This window comes from Homo sapiens, chromosome 9 (genome assembly GCF_000001405.40).
Source record: "Homo sapiens chromosome 9, GRCh38.p14 Primary Assembly".
Lineage (NCBI taxonomy): Eukaryota > Metazoa > Chordata > Mammalia > Primates > Hominidae > Homo > Homo sapiens.
The window spans coordinates 2163606-2181486 of record NC_000009.12 but is presented as its reverse complement, the minus strand read 5'-3'; the positions used below and the strand labels follow the sequence as shown (position 1 = coordinate 2181486).

General features: G+C 42.1%; 1 protein-coding gene and 1 long non-coding RNA gene across 9 annotated transcripts in view; one reads left to right on the top strand and one right to left on the bottom strand.

Annotated features, from left to right (window-relative positions):
• LOC107987043 (uncharacterized) overlaps nucleotides 1–9602 on the top strand; it is a 70735-nt gene extending 61133 nt beyond the window's left edge. Inside the window, exons 3-5 of one of the 2 annotated variants that reach the window (XR_007061395.1) lie at nucleotides 465–650; nucleotides 3267–6466; nucleotides 9259–9602. This is a non-coding gene — a long non-coding RNA (uncharacterized LOC107987043). Of the gene's footprint in view, nucleotides 1–464; nucleotides 6467–9258 lie in introns of both variants that reach the window. The other variant, XR_001746600.2, reaches the window with a different exon arrangement.
• Nucleotides 1–17881, bottom strand: part of SMARCA2 (SWI/SNF related BAF chromatin remodeling complex subunit ATPase 2) — a 178274-nt gene that overhangs the window by 12134 nt on the left and 148259 nt on the right. For 2 of the 7 annotated variants that reach the window (NM_003070.5, NM_001289396.2), the window contains exon 29: nucleotides 11015–11068. The exons of the other annotated variants lie outside the window; for them this stretch is intronic. In NM_003070.5, the coding sequence (NP_003061.3) occupies nucleotides 11015–11068 (54 nt within the window). The remainder of the gene's footprint in view (nucleotides 1–11014; nucleotides 11069–17881) is intronic. 7 annotated transcript variants of the gene reach the window in all.

Sequence of the window (17881 nt, the reverse complement as noted above, 5' to 3'; positions counted from 1 at the left end):
CAAAGTAAATTATATTCCACGCATATAGATATGGAGCTTTTTAAGTCAGGAAAAATCCCACAACTCTATTGGAGATTGATGTCCCTTGTGATAATTTTAAGATCACAGTAAAATACAATTTGGTCCCCACTTCTGTCACACATACAATATGGGAAATACACTGTGGATTTCCCTTTCAGAGCAAATATATCTCTTTATTTTGATAGAAATATTTAAAATATCCTTGTTAGCTAAAAATTTCATTTTTAAATGAATTGGTAAATATATATGTATATATATACACGTACATATATATAAAAATATACATATTTAAACATTGTATTTCCATACTCCTTTGTTTTCAAATTCACATTGTATTTAGAAAGTAACTCAAAATAATATGTTAGAATATACTCTGGAAACTCAAGTGAAAAGCCTTCGTACGTACCTACTGGCTGACTATTTTCTTGGTCTTATTCCTTTAGGGTATTTTACATACTGTAAACCACACATACCTTTATTATTACTTGCCAGAGGAACCCCTTCATCTTGCCTAACTGCCATTGTGTGTGTGTAGAGCAATTTGGGTGAAAGAAGAACATGTTTCACAAGCTTAAGTGTGGATGCTTCACATTTCTGGGATTAGTGCTGTACCCTCCCCCAAATTCATGGTAAGTTTATTTGAAAGCAGGTTCTATAGCAACAAATGCTTAGCATTTTTGTAATTTTCAAACACAGGCTACAAAGCATATGAGCTTTTAACATCACTTACTGTTGGAAGCAGATGTGGTTAAAGGCACAAAGAGATTCACAATTTAGGTTCAAGATCCTAATATCTGATTTGGTCTACTCAGATCAATAACAGCTTGTGGTGTGTGATACAGTCATTTTTCACAAAAGTCTCACTCCCCTTAGGATGCCATCTCTACTTCCTTTGTGAAGCCAGAAATATCAAAAATTAATCATAAATCACTGCCATAAAAATTTCAGAAGGTGATTCTAGGAGCTTGTGAGAATACTAGAAGGCAGTGGCAAAGCATGAGTGACAACATGCTGTTTTAATCCACAGTCCCAGTTGTATAATTAAAAAGTAATCATAATGACAGTTATCATAAAAAAGGCATGCGCAGTAACTCAAACAGTTGCTTAGCAACCAGTGGAAAAAATGCTGAAGTGCAAAGAGGCCTGCATAAATTAACCGAAAATCCTCTGTCAAAGAGATGGGCTAGTTTTTCTGCTACACTGGGTCATCGTTTTTGTTTTATTTTTTTAATGCACATATGGGCCTCATGAGTACGAAAATCAGGGGTGAACGCAAGAGGTTTAAGAAGACTGCATTTTACTCAGGAATTGGATTTCTGGATCACTGCAGCAAGAACCAAGGTGTTCTCTCACCCTCTCAACCACCCCTACCCCTCACATCTCTTCGAGAAATGCGTTCGTCCTTCCCTAACTTATGCCACATAGTATATGACAAGAACTATTTTATTTACCATCACCTTCAACACAGGGCCACAATTTCTGGTCTGTTCTTTTCCTACCATTCTGAGATTTATACACCCAAACATTTTATCTGTTTGAAAAGGTGCCTATGAAATGCAGTGAGAGTAATTTGTAGAGAGCAACTTGCTTAATGAGCATTCTTTATCAGCTAGCAGCACCCCAAAAGTCAGACCTCTTTGTAATCGCGGATTTAACACCTGACTCTCCCTCAATGACACATCTTCATGGTGTCATCTTCTACATTGCCAACAGATGGTGTCATGTTTCTATTGATGGAGTACAGGCACATCTCTGTACACCTGTGATGGACACACTCTTAATTTTAACTGTGCTACTGGTGAAATAAATAAGAAATAAGCAGTTTGTGACCGATAGTGCAACAAAGCTCTAAGGGGTAAGGCTAAAACAATCTAGGTATGACATCTCTGTCTTCAGTAAGACCCTAAAAATTCTAAACCCCATAAGGAGACAAGTCCAGAGTTCTCTATGCTCATAAAGAAGAGAGCTGAATGCTCTGAGACTTGGGGCCAATACTGTAAAATGAGAAATAAACACATTTATTCTGTTTAAAAAATAAAGGCTCACTGGACTTAATATACCTATCCCACTTTCTTTTTTCCTCTCCTAAGAATAAAGGACAAAGGCAAAAGGAGGACCTGGAAGTTATCTATGGAAGACTTCTTGGGATATGTTGTTTCCATCATCACTGAAATATCTCAGAGTCTGGCTTCCAAAGCCCTCCAGGATATGTCCTCATTCTCTAAAAACCCAACTGGTACCACCAACACACTTCTCTTCTAGTCAGGAGAGTCTCTACTGTGTACCCCCAACTTTCATGGGCAATCCCCTCTTTATGACCCATTCCAGGTCTCCAGGCCTGACCTAGCTCTCACTCCATAGCTGGAAAGTTCTCTGTGGTTTTTTCTCCTCTCCAAGTATTTCCTTATCCCTCCAGGACCAAGAACCCATTGTCCAGAAAAATGGAGGAAATTCTCCTAAATATCAACTACACTTACTCTCAGTCCCCTCATTGCTCAGAACCTAATTCTTCCATGTGTGTTATTGTTTCTCTCCTCCCTACAGGGTGGGGTTCTCTTACAGACATCAAACTCATCCCCCTCCCTCCCAGAGCAAGGGATTGGATGGCCAGCTTCGGCAGACAAAGCCAGGAGGTCCTGGGCAGTACCTAGCTTCCACATTACCTATAGAATACCTTGAGGTAGCACGAACACTTGCTGGAGTAATTTATTTTTTTCCTAAATTACAGGTTAAAAAAAAATTAAACAAACAAACAAAAAAGGAAGTGAAGCAGCCTGACAGTTCTGAATTCTTGTCATTTCTTTCTCTAATTTGAGCTGAGCGAGGGCTTTTTTTTAATACACCTTTTGAAATGTGGTGGTTTTCTATGCACCACCCTGCCCCCGGCCAGAAAGTTGCTTTTTTCCTTTTTAAGTACAGAACAATAGTCTAATTGTACAATGTTGTTTACAGAAGGTGTTCTGTTTCTGTTGAAATGCTTATCCTATCCCAAGGTGTTTTCCATTATGTCATTTTACACAATTTAAGGCCTAAATATAAATTGCTACTTGGAAAGTACACTACTTCCCAGACAAAAATGAGACCCCCTCCCCAAGACCACTGATGGCCTGTGACATCGGATGGATTTTACGTAATGATCTACCTCAGGCTAGAAAGTATGGCTCTGATGAGACATGGGGTAAGTGGGGGAGGGGTACAACTTGAAATACAAGTTTAAAGGCACTCACTGGTCTTACGGTTCACAGGTGTTGGTGGACAAGAACCTCTCCTCTTCATGGAAGTGAACAGACACCGCGACGTGGCCATGAGACCATAGAGTACGAGATGGAAAAGAGCCACATACCACTGTGCAAGTGGTAGTTTGAACTCCTTGTATGCATGGCTTATATACACACACTACTGAGATTTAATTTGTTATGCTTCATCTGGGAACCGTTTTTTTTTTTCCTCATTACCTCCACAAACCAAAAGTATAATTCCACATCTATACTATGACTCTAAACTGGTGACTGCATACATTATAAACTTTACATAAATGTCAGCTTTAGCTTTGATTATATTTTAAGCTTAGAGACATGCTGAAGGCTGATATGCTAGTTAAGAAATCTACCTCTGGCCGGGCACGGTGGCTCATGCCTGTAATCCCAGCACTTTGGGAGGCAGAGGCGGGCCGATCACCTGAGGTCAGGAGTTCGAGACCAGCCTGACCAACATGGAGAAACCCCCTCTCTACTAAAAATACAAAATTAGCTGGGTGTGGTGGCGCATGCCTGTAATCCCGGCTACTAGGGAGGCTGAGGCAGGAGAATTGCTTGAACCCAGGAGGCGGAGGTTGTGGTGAGCTGAGATCGCGCCACTGCACTCCAGCCTGGGCAACGAGAGCGAAACTCAGTTTCAAAAAAAAAAAGAAATCTACTTCTAGAATACTGGTTATGTCTTTTAATGATTTTTTTTTCCAGGACCAGGCGAAAATTGATAATTAGTGAGGGTCTTTTATGGTTTTTCTTTTTTACCTGCTCAAGCTGATCTGTTGACCAGAATAGCTAATAGATAGTGCTGAGAAAGAAATCTTAACCATAGCTGAAATAAATTGTTTATATTAATAAGGGTTAAAATGTGACTATCTTACTTCAATTAGAAAATGATGTCATGATTTAGAATACTCACTTGAGGTTGGAAGGATTTTACAGAAAAGCTATCACAATCCTAAAGGAATCAAACATAGCAAAGTCGTTTGGGAAGAAAACTTTAAAAATTGGGTCAACACTGCAGGGCAGTAGGTGAAGTGTGCTGCTTCTTTTCAGGTTCAGGTTCCTATGAAGTTTAATATATATCATTGAAGAATTTACTAGACCACATTAGTGCCCCTACTTATCAAGAGAGCCTGCAGAAACCTGAGCCAGTCATGAAGCAGGTGTTACAAGCATCTGCACTCCATATTTGCTACTGAGATCTCTCATCTCAGCCTTATTGAGTATTGATTGGTGATAATTCCTAACAAGTTTGGAAATATCATCACCTAGACCCTTGAAGCAAGAGCAAAACAGGGTGGGATGGGAGTAGACTTGTTTGGGTCATGGAATCAGTAGCTGTTAAAATCACCCCAATGTTGGGGCACAGTGGCTCACACCTGCAATCCCCGCCCTATGGGAGGCTGAGGCAGGCTGATCACTTGAGCTCAGGAATTCAAGACCAGCACAGACAACATGGAGAAACCTCATCTCTACAAAAAAAAAAATACAAAACTTAGCCAGGCGTGGTGGCATGTGCCTGTAGTCCCAAGCTACTTGGGAGGCTGAGGTGGGAGGATCGCTTGAGCCCAGGAGGCAGAGGTCGCAGCGAGCTGAGATCATGCCCCTGCAGTCCAGCCTGGTCAACAGAGCTGACTTTGTTGTCTCAACACCACCAAAAAAATCACCCTAATAGTCATAAAGGACTACAGATAAATAATGTCCCTGAGTTACCAAGACAAACAAAGTTCCCTGTTAGGAGACTGAAAAGGGTTCACTCAGCTCAATAAGAAAGGCACCAAGACTTTGTCTAGAGTCTTAAAAACAATCACACTCTGATGCATGATTTTACTTTTGGTAATCTACTCTGGGCTGAAACAGATAATCATCAAGATGTTCATGACAGGATTACTTAAAATAAATAATTCAAAGCAGCCAAAACGTTTAACAGTTGTGGAAAGAACAAGTAATAGAATGCAAGAGAGTCTAAAATTATGTATTTTAAAGAAAAAAATGCTTGTTACGTCATTATAAAAAAAAAAAAAAAAAAAAACAGGCCGGGCGCGGTGGCTCATGCCTGTAATCCCAGCACTTTGGGAGGCCGAGGCAGGTGGATCACCTGAGGTCAGGAGTTCAAGACCAGCCTGACCAACATGGAGAAACCTCATCTTTACCAAAAATAAAAAAATTAGCCGAGTATGGTGGCGCATGGCTATAATCCCAGCTACTCAGGAGGCTGAGGCAGGAGAATCGCTTGAACCCAGGAGACGGAGGTTGCAGAGAGCCGAGATTGTGCCATTTGCACTCCAGCTTGGGCAACAAGAGCGAAACTTCATCTCAAAAAACAAACAAACAAACAAAAAAAACCCAAAAAAACAGAGGATATCAAATTGTAGTGCAGTACAACTTCAACCTCAACAAGGATTTAAAAAAGGCATTGAAAAACGACCAGAAGGAGATATGCCAAAGCATAATGAAAAATAATAATTTACTCTTATTCACCAAAATGAAGATTTATGATTGAATGTAATTTAGAACCATTTTATCCATAAATAAAGTAGGTCCCAACAAACACTTTAATTGGGTTACCTTCATTGAAAACATGCCATAAGTCAAATATCTAATTTTATTTTTCCAAAGAAATTACGTTTAAGGATCATAGGACCAACCTTTATTTTTATCACCATAAGCAGCACGTTTTACCAACTGGCACTTTTTAACTATCACATAAAGCCAAACAAATAAAAGAATACAATCATTACACAAAAGTTTTAATATGTTGTATGTTGCAACCATCAGAATCTTCTTTTCAGTTTCTATGCATTTCTTCAGGATTCTCCCATTGCATTTATTACTACAAAGCAAAGGTGCTTGAAACAGGACGTAAGATCCAGAGAGTGTTTTTGTGTGTGTATTGTTGGGGGGGGGCGGGGACAAGCATTTTCAAAAAATGTTTTTGAGTAGATTTGTCAGCTATCACTCAGCTTTCGGAAATACTGTCTTAGGATGGCTACTTTTCTGCCCTCTTTCTCACTTGACGTTTCATAACAGTGGGTGCAGGTACAGAACTCCACTGCCCATCTGACTAAATGTGATGACAGACAGACACCGGATGACCCGCAGCTTCCTCAGCCGGCCATTTCTACAGTTTTTCCCACCCCACCTTGTAGACGTTACACGCGCTCATGACTCAAAGCGTCCCTGTCTTTCAAAATGTAAGAACCCACACGTTCCCTTCCACTGAATATCCTGTCCTTTGATCCTTTCCTGCCTCTCCATTTCCTTTTTTTTTTTTTTTTTTTTTTTTTTTTGAGAGAGGGTCTCACTCTGTCCCCCAGGCTGGACTGCAGTAGCACGATCAGGGCTCACTGCACTGTAGCCTCGACCTCCCAGGCTCAAGCAATCCTCCCATCTCAGCCTCCTAAGTAGCCAGGACTACTGGAGTATGCCACCACACCCACCTCATTTTTGCATTTTTGTAGAGACAGGCTTCCACCATCTTGCCTCGGGTGGTCTCGGACTCCTGAGCTGAAGCAATCCGCTTGCCTCGGCCTCCCAAAGTGCTGGGAATTACAGGTGTGAGCCACTGTGCCTGGCCTTTGCTTCCCCATTTCTTAATGGTAAAATGCTTCAAAGCTTTTGGCTGAATTGCGACCAAATTAAAAAGCACAAAGCTTCTGCAGACAAAATCAAATGCCTCTCCATCTGTGCCCAAGTCCCACACGCTGCTTTGTTAAATGGGTGGGTCGTGGCAGGCACCGGAGTGCTGCTTTTTCCTACAATGGCTGTTGTAATAAATCCTCAAGGAAGACATATTAGGTGTGATTCTAAAGGAGTGAGACAGATTTTTTTCCCCCATTAATATACAAGGACATATATATATCCAAATAACTGCGATCTCTCAGAGCAATCCCTTTTTAATCAAAACATTTATAGAGTGGTTTGGAAAACAGTGTGTCAGCCCTGTAAGAAAATCCATTTTGTTATTTCCAGCTGAGCCTCCTTCCCTTCCTTCAGAGAGGGGTCCTTTATGCTGGTGTTGGCCTGGAGCTTGAGAGGCAGAGACCCTCGAAAGAGGGGCTTCAGGGCCAGGCTAATGCTGGAAGATAAGGGGAAGCATTCTGTGTCTCGGGAAACAGACGGACTAAGTTTATTTGTGGGCTGCCCACCTGCTGTACGTGGGCATAACTGGCTGAGCACCATAAATAAGTATCGAGTCACCAAGAGTCAAAGCAGCCTGTTTCAGCAAACATTTAAAGTATCAATATTTGTAATGAGGGCAAAATAAAGCACTGGAGTCCACATCTCCGAGCAGATTCTCTCTGCACTGAATGTAATATTTGGGCTCCAATTCAGCATTTCCCAAAGTGTGCTCCACAGAACACTAGCTTAATGGGTTAGTAACAGTGTCCCGTGAAAAGGGGGTTCTTTGGTCAAATAAGTTTGGGAGATGCTGGGTTAAGCAGTTAAACAGCTGACTTTACAGCAAGACTTCCCAGGGCCTCTGGCTGTACTGGGAATCTCCAAGAAGGAGTAGGAAGGCTAGAGTTGGAAGAACTCACTCTGGGAAGCATCATGAAATGCTCATGCACCAGACAATGCATGAGGCGCTGACCTCAGGAGGCTGCTACTCTACACGATAAACTGTCAGCTTGATTCTGGGTCCAAACTATCAGAAACAGAGAATGAATGAAAAAAGGTGCTTCACCTACACCTAAAATTTCCCAGAAGTGTATCTAATTGGTCACAGTGCTATTTCATGGTAATTTCTCTATAATGAAATTAGAGCCACTAAATGCAGAGGTGCTTGGGCTTGAGAGCTATCATTACAGCCTCTCGCTCTCATTTACAGTAATACAAGATGTCTGGTACTAAAAATAAATTTTGCCTACAAGAGCCTGTTGGCTGGTCCTGAAAGAGCAGTCAATACTAACAACATCATCACAACATCAAGGGCTGCTAATGGCCAAGTAGAGAGTTCAGCTGTCCTGTGATGGTGTATGCAGGGCCAGGTAACTACATACATGCACATGTGCACACACACATACATACAAGTGCCTTCACACACACCAATTTTCCTGCCACCTTCATTTCTGTAAATGGCACCGCTGTTCACTGATCACTCAGGGCAGAGATCCAAGAGCTATGTGAGTTCTCTTCCTCCTCCTCCTCACACATCCAGACTGCCCCTAAGTCTTGTCAATCCTACCTCTGAATATTTATTCCCTTGTCTTCCTACCTACTGCCACTTCCTTATTTTAAGGACTATCTTCCTCCACTACCAGACAACATTCTCCTAATGTATGCCTCCTTCGATCCATCCTTCACAGACTATCAGTGACATTTCCGAACACAAATCTCACTGTATCCCCATGATCCTCTCTTGGCTATCTACTTTCCACTGCAGGGCTGATGTCGGCTCCCTGGGTGTCACCTCCCCTCTCCCACATGACAGACATCACACACTGGTCCCTGCACGCTCACGCCCAGAACTCAGGTGTGCTCTCCGTTGGCCTCCTTGAAACAGTGCTCGTAACAGTCACTGCGATGACTACAGGTTGCCCTCAAGACCCCACTCCTAGAAGAGTACATCAAAATTCCTCCTCAGCTTGGTGTTCAAGGCCCTCCGGGATCTGTTCTCAGGCTTCTCCAGCCTCATCCAGGCTGTCCCAGTCTTCCTTCGTCTCCAATGAGCTGGTCACACTGAGATGGTGTAGTCTCTAGAGGGGGACTGCTTTCCAAGCCTCCATGGCTACATCCCCCCTTCCCGCACATACCACCACAAGCTCTGCCCCCCCACCCATCCTCCCTTCACCCGTCTGTTTGAGAAACTCCCACTCTGCTCACAGCCAGTTAGAAGCGCTCTCCACTCCTGCCCCATCCCTTCCCATCCCACCCTGTGTATATGTGTCATTCATACCAGGTACTTGCATTATTTGTTGACATAGCTCTTTCCAATTGTGCTTTAAATAACTCCATTTAATTCATTTTTTTTTTCCATTTTCAGTACTTACAAAGAGCCTCTTTTGACCACTGAAGCAAAGATTTTTTAAAAGCTCTTCTGAAGAAAGGGTTAATTCATCATAATACAATCTCCAAACACCATGTTGTCAGCTCAGGCTTATGGGAAAAGGAAGTGTGTGTGACAGACAGCAAGGGACAAGACAGACTCCAGAGAGCCCTGAGGAAGCAAACACCAAGCCCACTGCTATGTCTCTGGAAATTACAGTTTAAATGTGTCTTTAGTGAAAATGAATTTATCTAGTTCCTAACCATATACCGTCATGTCATCTCCCCTCAAAAAGCCTGGGCATGGCACTGGGGACTTGCAATAAATAGCCTTTAAAGTTATTGATCTACTTTTCGTGGTCACATGACCATCTTGATGGAAGAGGGCAAAGAGGGAAAGGAGCTCCTGCCTGTCCCTGTTTCCTGGGCAGGGCATTCAGCTTACATCATGCCATTTAGCCCTAAGGCCTCCTTTCTAGGTATTAGGGGTGGAAATATTTACCCAAGTTGGTTGATTATTTAAACTGCCCAAACTTATGAAGTCAACTATTCGTTGTTTCAATCTCCAAGTCAGAATCCAGACTGAGTTCTTTCTCATAATGGCAAATACAGAACAAAATTCCTGACGTTTCTCAATGGACATTATAGTTTATGTGCCTGGTTTCCAGGATTAGTCATTGTTTACTGGACTGCAATAAGAAATATCAAAAATTGACAATCTTGCCCGACAGTTTCATCTCCACACAAAAATGGATAAGTATAAGTATAAATCACCACTAGTTTTTAATCTCCTTATATAAAGAAGAATACCACAACCAGTGATCTGTGTTCATTCTGAAATACACGATACATCCTCAATTCTCTCTCTCCAGTCCTAGATTGGATCCTATGCTGGTGGAAAAAATGTTGTAAAGGATGTTATTGGGTCAGCTGAAAAAATTGAAATATGGATGGTAAAGCACTGTATCAACTTTTTTTTTAAGTACAGGTTGACCGAAATGGAGAAAGAAATGTTATCTCTCTTATATTAATAAGAGCTCCTAGCCTTGGCGTATCATGCACATCCATCTCTCCAGCTCAACCAATGTCATCTAATATTCACACTATCTCTAGGAGAAAAGCATTTCTGCTTTCTACCCAACAGAAGCAAAGGCACACAGAGGTTGAAAGAGACTGGCTTTAGATGCTTGGGACTACACACAACAGGTAGGCCCAGGAGTCACACCCTGAAACCCAACCCATCACACAAACAAGAGACAACTCAGCAATTGCCCTCTGCATGCCATGATCAACTCTGGAATGCAGACACAGCGTGAACATGCACGCTTCTTCATGTCTCGCAGGAGATCAAGTCACTACAGGTGCTTCGCATTAAGCTTCTAAACCAAGACAGCACAGAGTTAAAGAGGCCCAAGGAACACACAACAGAAGCTGCGCTGGAAGGGAGGGGGAAGCAACAGAAACCCATCTCCAAGATGCTGCAGTTAGGGCGGGCTTTCCAGGAGCTCCCAATACCCTTGTAAGGAGTGCATGTATAGAATTGGCACAGCCAGATTAAAATACAGCACCAACAACTTCAGAAGCCATGACAGCTGTTTAAGAGTATCTGTGCCTCTATCCCGCTCTCCAAGTAGGGGTGATCAGGAGGTGACCGAAGAAATTTGCTTCCAAAGGCCGATTATATGATTCAATCTGTTTCACGTAACGAGGGATACCTGTATTTAGAGATAGGGGAATACAAGACAGATCCTGACCTGTTTCCTTCTATTTCCAACTGAGAATTACTGGGCACCTTCTCCACGTTACACCTGCGGTAGAGTAGAAAGAACACTAGAGTCAGAAGACCTGGGTTCTCGTCCCCGCCCGGCTCCTTCTTCCTAGGCTGGGTGACCTGGCCAAGCCTCAGTCTCCTCACCAACCTGCCTTGTTAGGAAGATTACACGGGGTTATGTTTGGAACCTCATTCGGAAAAATAACATAGTTCTCTAAAAATGGTGGGGGAAGTGGATTTCCTAACCTTTCTGGGATTTTCCTACTTCCGTCACACACAGAAATTCCTGTTACCCTGTTCCCTCTTACATGTTCCATTCACTGTTCCAGAAGGTGGGAGACAGGCAGCCACTGGCTAGAGGTGCGTGTGATCTTGGGAAGGTAGTGCTAGTCTATCTGAGTTTAGCCCCTCATTTGTAAAATGGGGGAAATACTTACCTCAGAAAGTTATAAAAATTAAATAGGATAAAGTGCTTTCTTACAGTAGCCTGCACAAAGAAGGTATTCCAAGCATCAGCCAATTTGGGTCTGAACACCATCTAACTAGTCAGCTCTGCTTCCAAGAGCTCTATTCCTTTTCGAGAGATCACTGAATTCATGATCTTTAGTGGGAAATGAAAATAAACCACCACCTGGCGTCTTGGGCACTTCTACAAGCCTCTAGAAAAGCCTCTTCAGTTGAGGATTTTTGAAACTGCTAGGTTGGTGTCCCTTTTTGTGGTGGCAGGGAAGCAGCTGCCAGGTTTCACAGATCCTGGGAAGACCCTCCATACCCTCTAGATCTCCCTCCAGGTGTAGACAGCACCCTTTGGGATTCACAGCCTGTGCCTGTCCATGTATAAATCCCTTCTCGGAGTCACTGCCCCATTCTGCTCTAGAGTCAGTGTGGGGTCGGGGTGTTGCAGAGAGGGAAAAGCATAAACCCATAAACAAATCAACAGAGGGGTGGAAGCGCATGTGCTCGCTTCAAAATACACAGAATTCTTTGGAATGTCTGAAATATAAGGAGAGCTGGGAGGGGTGCGTTGGAAAAAAAAAGTTGGGAAGATCCGAAGGTTCAGACTGTGGAAGATAACAATTCTCCTACGCTAAGAAGTCTGGTCATCATCGGGTAGGCAACGGGGCCGCTGTGAAGAGTTCTAAAGTTACAATATGAAATGACAAGTTAGGTGCCTCAGAAAGAAGCCAGGACAGGAAGAGACTGGAGGCAGGGCACGCAGTCCACCCTGCAGCTTGCCAGGCCAGGCCAGCAGTGCAAGGGCCTCAGGAAGACAGGGGGTGAGGAGGCAGGTGAACGGGTGTCTTGTAGGGACAATTAGGAGCAGGTTGAGGGGACTCTGAGTGTCAGCAATAAGGCACAGAATTGGGAAAGTCTTCATTATTTCACTTTTAGGACCTTGGGCTAATGATGGTGCTGACCAAGGAGACACAGAAGCTTAAGTAGACCATGTCATCTCCGAATGTGCACGAGTGACGGGAGGAAAACCTGAAAACAACAAGTGCTACCTTAGAACGCTTTACAGAGTAGATTGTAACTAACTCAGAGAAGCTAGGTATGGCTCTGTCATCTAAGACTGACGCAGATTACAACTCAGTGGGTTCTGAACAACCAAAGATCCCAGCAGAATAATTTCAAATCATTCTGATAAGGAGTCCATGCAGGTCAGCCATCTGATTGGCTTGGGGAAAAAAAAATACAAATTTTTAAAACCCTAAAACAAAGCAACAAAAAATAATAACTACATAATGACATAGATTTGGTTTAAAATGTTTGTTACGAAAACTTATTTTAGAAAGACAGTATGAATGCCAGTGTAAAGATCCATTGGTTTGATGAAGCCTTGAGATGATAATCAGTGTGGGAAAGCCTTCGACACAGTAAATACCTAACGCACTTCAAATAAAGAACTTCCGAGACAGAGGAAGCCTTGGAACAAGGCAATATTTTGAAATAAGAGCCCTGCCCTTCTGGAGAATGGGCTGATTATATGTAGGCCTTCAGCAGAGTTTCAGCCCTACTCAAAATGAGAAAAATGCTGCAAATTACTTTTCAGTGTGTATAGGAATTAACTACAATTAGTCCACAGGTTTGTAGTTTACCAAATTCTTGGAAAGCTGCTATAATGTAATAAAATATCAGATCATTTGCCGGGCATGGTGGCTCACGCCTGTAATCCCAGCACTTTGGGAGGCTGAGAAAGGCAGATCACCTGAGGTCAGGAGTTCGAGACCAGCCTGACCAACATGGCAAAACCCTGTCTCTACCAAAAATACAAAATTAGCCAGGCATCGTGGTGCACGCCCATAATCCCAGCAACTCTGGAGGCTGAGGCAGGAGAATTGCTTGAACCCGGGAGGCAGATGTTGCCACTGCACTCCAGCTGGGCAACAAGAGCGAAACTGTCTCAAAAAAAAAAAAAAAAGAAAAAGAAAAAAAGCTCATTTCCCCAGGTAAATATTATTATAATGTCCTGAATTGATTATAAGTACCAGGTAATGTCATTGTATCCTCAGATAATGGGGCTCATACGACCCCTACTTCCCTGAATTCCCCAGGCCAGCTACCTCTTCAGTAATATCCCATAGGAAAGCTATCTCTTCCACTGCATGATGAGCTAGTGGGGGTAAGTACCTGGAATTTTTTACCCTATAGTTATATTCAAGAGTACAGTCCTGGAAATAAGCAAACAATGAAGGAAATATTTCTAAAAAGAATGAATGATTTTCTCCAATGTGAGAACTAAAAATTCAGGACAAGCTGAGTCTTACCACAATTCCCAGAGATACCACAAGGGCTTATTAAATTTAGGGGCAAGAAGAACACATTCCCAGCTAGGGGAAGACAGCAGAGACTGAAGAGTGTCAGGGAGGCAGGAGCCACGTGGCTGCCACCCCTCTGTGCCCCGGAGCTGTGTTCACCAATTGGACTGACCAGGCACTGACCAGGCAGGTATCTCCTGCCTCCTCCATCACTTTGCTGCATCCATCTTCAAGGCTAGACCTGATGTCCAAACCCTTTTACAGACAGCAGGGCTGGTCTTCCTGTGGACTGCTTCTGAAAGAATTGTCTTCGAGCAATTGATAGAGAGGGAGGAGGTGATGACACCCTATTCACTTTCTGTTTCCAGATTCTTCAGGAATGAGAACAATGCTCAGATTTGAAAAGCAAGGCATAATAAATGGTGAACAAAAGCTCCTGATAAGAGAGTTGATAGAAAGAGCATATCAAGCCACTTCAAGTAAGTTCAAGTGTCCAGTTGCAAACTAATTAAATCCTGGAAAAGCATGTAGATTGCTTCTGCTAATAACATTTAGGAAATCACAGAGCACAAAAATGGAATCAGAACACTAGAGATAAGCAAATGTCCCAATTTCAATATGAGAAAGAAAATTTGAGACTGTTACACTTCATGTTGACCCTTGGTAAAAATTTAGAAGAAATTATTCAGATGCCACAGGGCTATTTAGAAAAGATAAATAACATCATTAAGTGCCAGCAGGAGGTCTCTTAGAAAAAGCCATGGCAAGCTAACCTCATTTCACTTTTTCGGCAGGGTTTCTAGGGTGATAGATTGGAAAGGCTAGCCATGGTGTATCATGGTTTTAGCCTTTCTTGAAAATGCTGAGAAAGGATAAATGTGGGTGACATGAGAGCATGGCTATATGAGTTCACTGATGGGTAGCCAACCTTAAGGATTACTGGTTAATATATTCATGTCAACCTGAAGTGATTTTCAGGGGTATGTCACAGAGACCTGTCCTTTGTCTAAGTTTCTAAGCAATAGCTTATATCAAATCTTTGGATGAAAAAACTTAGATACATAAACATAGTAAACATAATTTTTGCATAGATAAAAATTTAGAGGTACAGCATCATGCAAGGATGATGGGATGAAAAGTAGTAAGGCTGGAACTACACAGGGATAAGAATACAATCAGTAGGCATAGGTTCAAAAAAATTATGCTTATCTGAAAGCTAACCTTGGCAGTATTCATGTGAAATCAGAGCAGTGTATGTGTGTTCTGGGGTGGGGAGTGGGGGTTATTTCAAGAAGTCACATATTCAATGAGTTAACTCTGTGTCAAGGTTGCTGGAAAAAGTAAACACACCCTTGAGTTATGCTAACAGAATTCTGGTGTCCAGAATAAGGAAGCTAACCACCCTGTAATTAATGATCAGAATACCCCATTGGAGTTCTGGGCGCCATGTTTTAAATGGGACACTAGGAGACTGGAATGTGGCCAATGTCTAGGCATCACTCAGAGAGCAAAGTGAAGTGTTCCTACCTGAAGGACAATGTCCTGAGGTAGATATGCTTGTTGATACATTTTAAAGGATATTTCTCAGAATGAGAGCAGATTTATTCTCTGAGGTTCCAAGTAGAACAAATAGCTAGGGGTCAGATGGCTGCATCCCTTTTAATGTAGGAAACGGTGATGTGTTTAGAACTGTCCTTTGGTGTCAAGAACTGCTCTGAAGCAGGGAGCTCACACTGCAGTGTCCACATGGAGGTGGATGACCACATGCCAGAGGTGGTACAGGGGACTTACTTGTATTGTGGGAAGTTGGGCCAGGCAGAGCTAAACATCCCTTCCAACGTTAATAATGCCTCTAGGAATCTCTCTCTCTTCTTTATCCAAGTAACTGAAAGCCATGTCTCTAGAGTTGGAATAGCTCCACAGACTCTACTCTTTACCGTCTAACTCTACATCTCATCCCAGGGGCAATTTTCAAGGGTACAAATGCAAACAGGATGAATCCCTTCTCAAAGAACAGTCTTAGGTTAAATATTACATAAATTGAGAATATGAGTTTTTAAAAGCTTCTAAATAAGCAGAAAACAAAGCATGCTTAACAAGTCAAAACAAAGCCTTCTGGTACTACTTGATATAAAGTTTTCTATTTGTGCAAATAAAATGATGGGGGCCAGTAGCAACAGACCAGTACTACCTCTGAATAGACAGCAGTTACTGCAGAAGGATTTTACACTTATGAATCACACAATATCTGGCTCTTAAGGGTCAGATTTTTAGAAGCACCCTCCTTTTTAAAAAACAAGTCCTATCACTGACTAAAAAGCAACGAACACACACATAAATGATCTTAGTTCTTTATGAAAATATCAAGATACATCTGCCCCAGAATCATGCATGAACTTTTAAACAACTGTCTCATGAGAGCTAATTAATTCTTCTTATATATCAGTTAAATATAAATGGCTGTTCTTATTTAATATGCTGTTAATCTACATGACTGTCAGAGCCCTAACATTTGACCAAAGTGATGGGAAGGAGGTTAGCACAGGTGGTATTTCTTTCACAGGTGGGTTGAGTTACTATTTAAATAACTGACTTTAATGGTGCAAAAATCTCAACACAGTGAAATGTACATCTCCCAGCAGCATTTTCTAAAACCAACCAAAAATATGATACTGTATCTAATTAAGGCTCTCCTAATTTGAGTGCCTCCTACTTGAGTACCAAGTTAAAGAGAAATACAAAATATAAATAGTTAGTGCTTTTTCTAGAGGATTACCAACATGAAATGTATATGAAACATTCAGTGGTGGGAAATTTAGTACATACTCCCCAGAAAGCATCTAAATGTGGGAGCTAATAGAATGTGTCTTACCAGGACACTTTTTAAGGAAAAGTAAGTAAGCAAATAAAACAAGGAAAAGTTAAAAAGAAAAAGCTACTCAATATCTGCATGCTGAAATATTCAAATACCCTTTACCTACAGTACAACTAAAGACATACTCAATAAACAGTACCACTGAAACGGCATTTTCTGTTTCTAGAAATAAAACCATGGAAATCAGCATCAGCAAGGACACTTTCTTTCTGGTGCTCAGAGGTCCATTCACCTACCTGATTAGCCTCAAAGTCTGAAAGGCTGATTATTAATAATGAAACTGTTCAAAGAACCTGAGTTACATTAAATCCCTGATGACACATAAGGACTCTAGAGGCAGGCGCAGTAATGAATCCCATTTCTGGGATTCTGGGATGGGGAAACTGAGGCTCAGGGAGATTAAGTAAATTACTCCACTGTCCCATAGCTGGTGAATGTCAGAGTCAGGATTCAAATGCAGGTGGTTAAATCAAGACAGACAAGAGTCTGTACTCTAAACCACTGTGCAATGCTTAGCTGAGGTTTAAGGCATATAATCTCCTACCAATCTGTATTTCTGGATGGTTTCTAGGAAAGTGGTCAGCCCACAGCCATGTATACCAGGAAGTCATAAACTCAAAGGCTATGGAGCCAGCAGGTAATACAAATGAATGAAGTGAGTCGGGCGTAAAAAGCATGACGGTAAATGGCGACGCACTCCATACTGAAGAGATGATACAGAGTGACGGGGATTGTGACAACCTAGAGCGCGATGCTGCCAATGAAAGGATGGCCACTTCTTCATGCCTACTGATTGTTACCTTAGGGAGAGCTGGGCAAAGTGCTGCCAGAGTTTCTGGTTTTTCAAAAGGGTGGGGGATGGGAGGGAAATTTTTGCAAGAAATCTCTCCAGGTTTATGTATTTGCTGACCCCCACCCCTCAAAAAAAAGCATAAAACCAAACGAATCTGTTGGCAGTATGTCATCCACCTGTTGGTGACTTCTTTTATGTCACTAGAGAAAGACACAGCCATCACCTTAGAATGAAAGGCCTAGCTTCTCAACCTCCAAGGACTTTCCTGGCCCTTCTCAGTGTTATAACAGCCCTTGACTCACTCAGCAAGTAATGAACAAAATGCCTGTCACACATCACAGCCCATCTGGTCAGAGAAACAGACGTTACACTCTCCTGAGACAAAGGCAAAAAAGTTTGATGTATATACAGAGTGATGCTCTC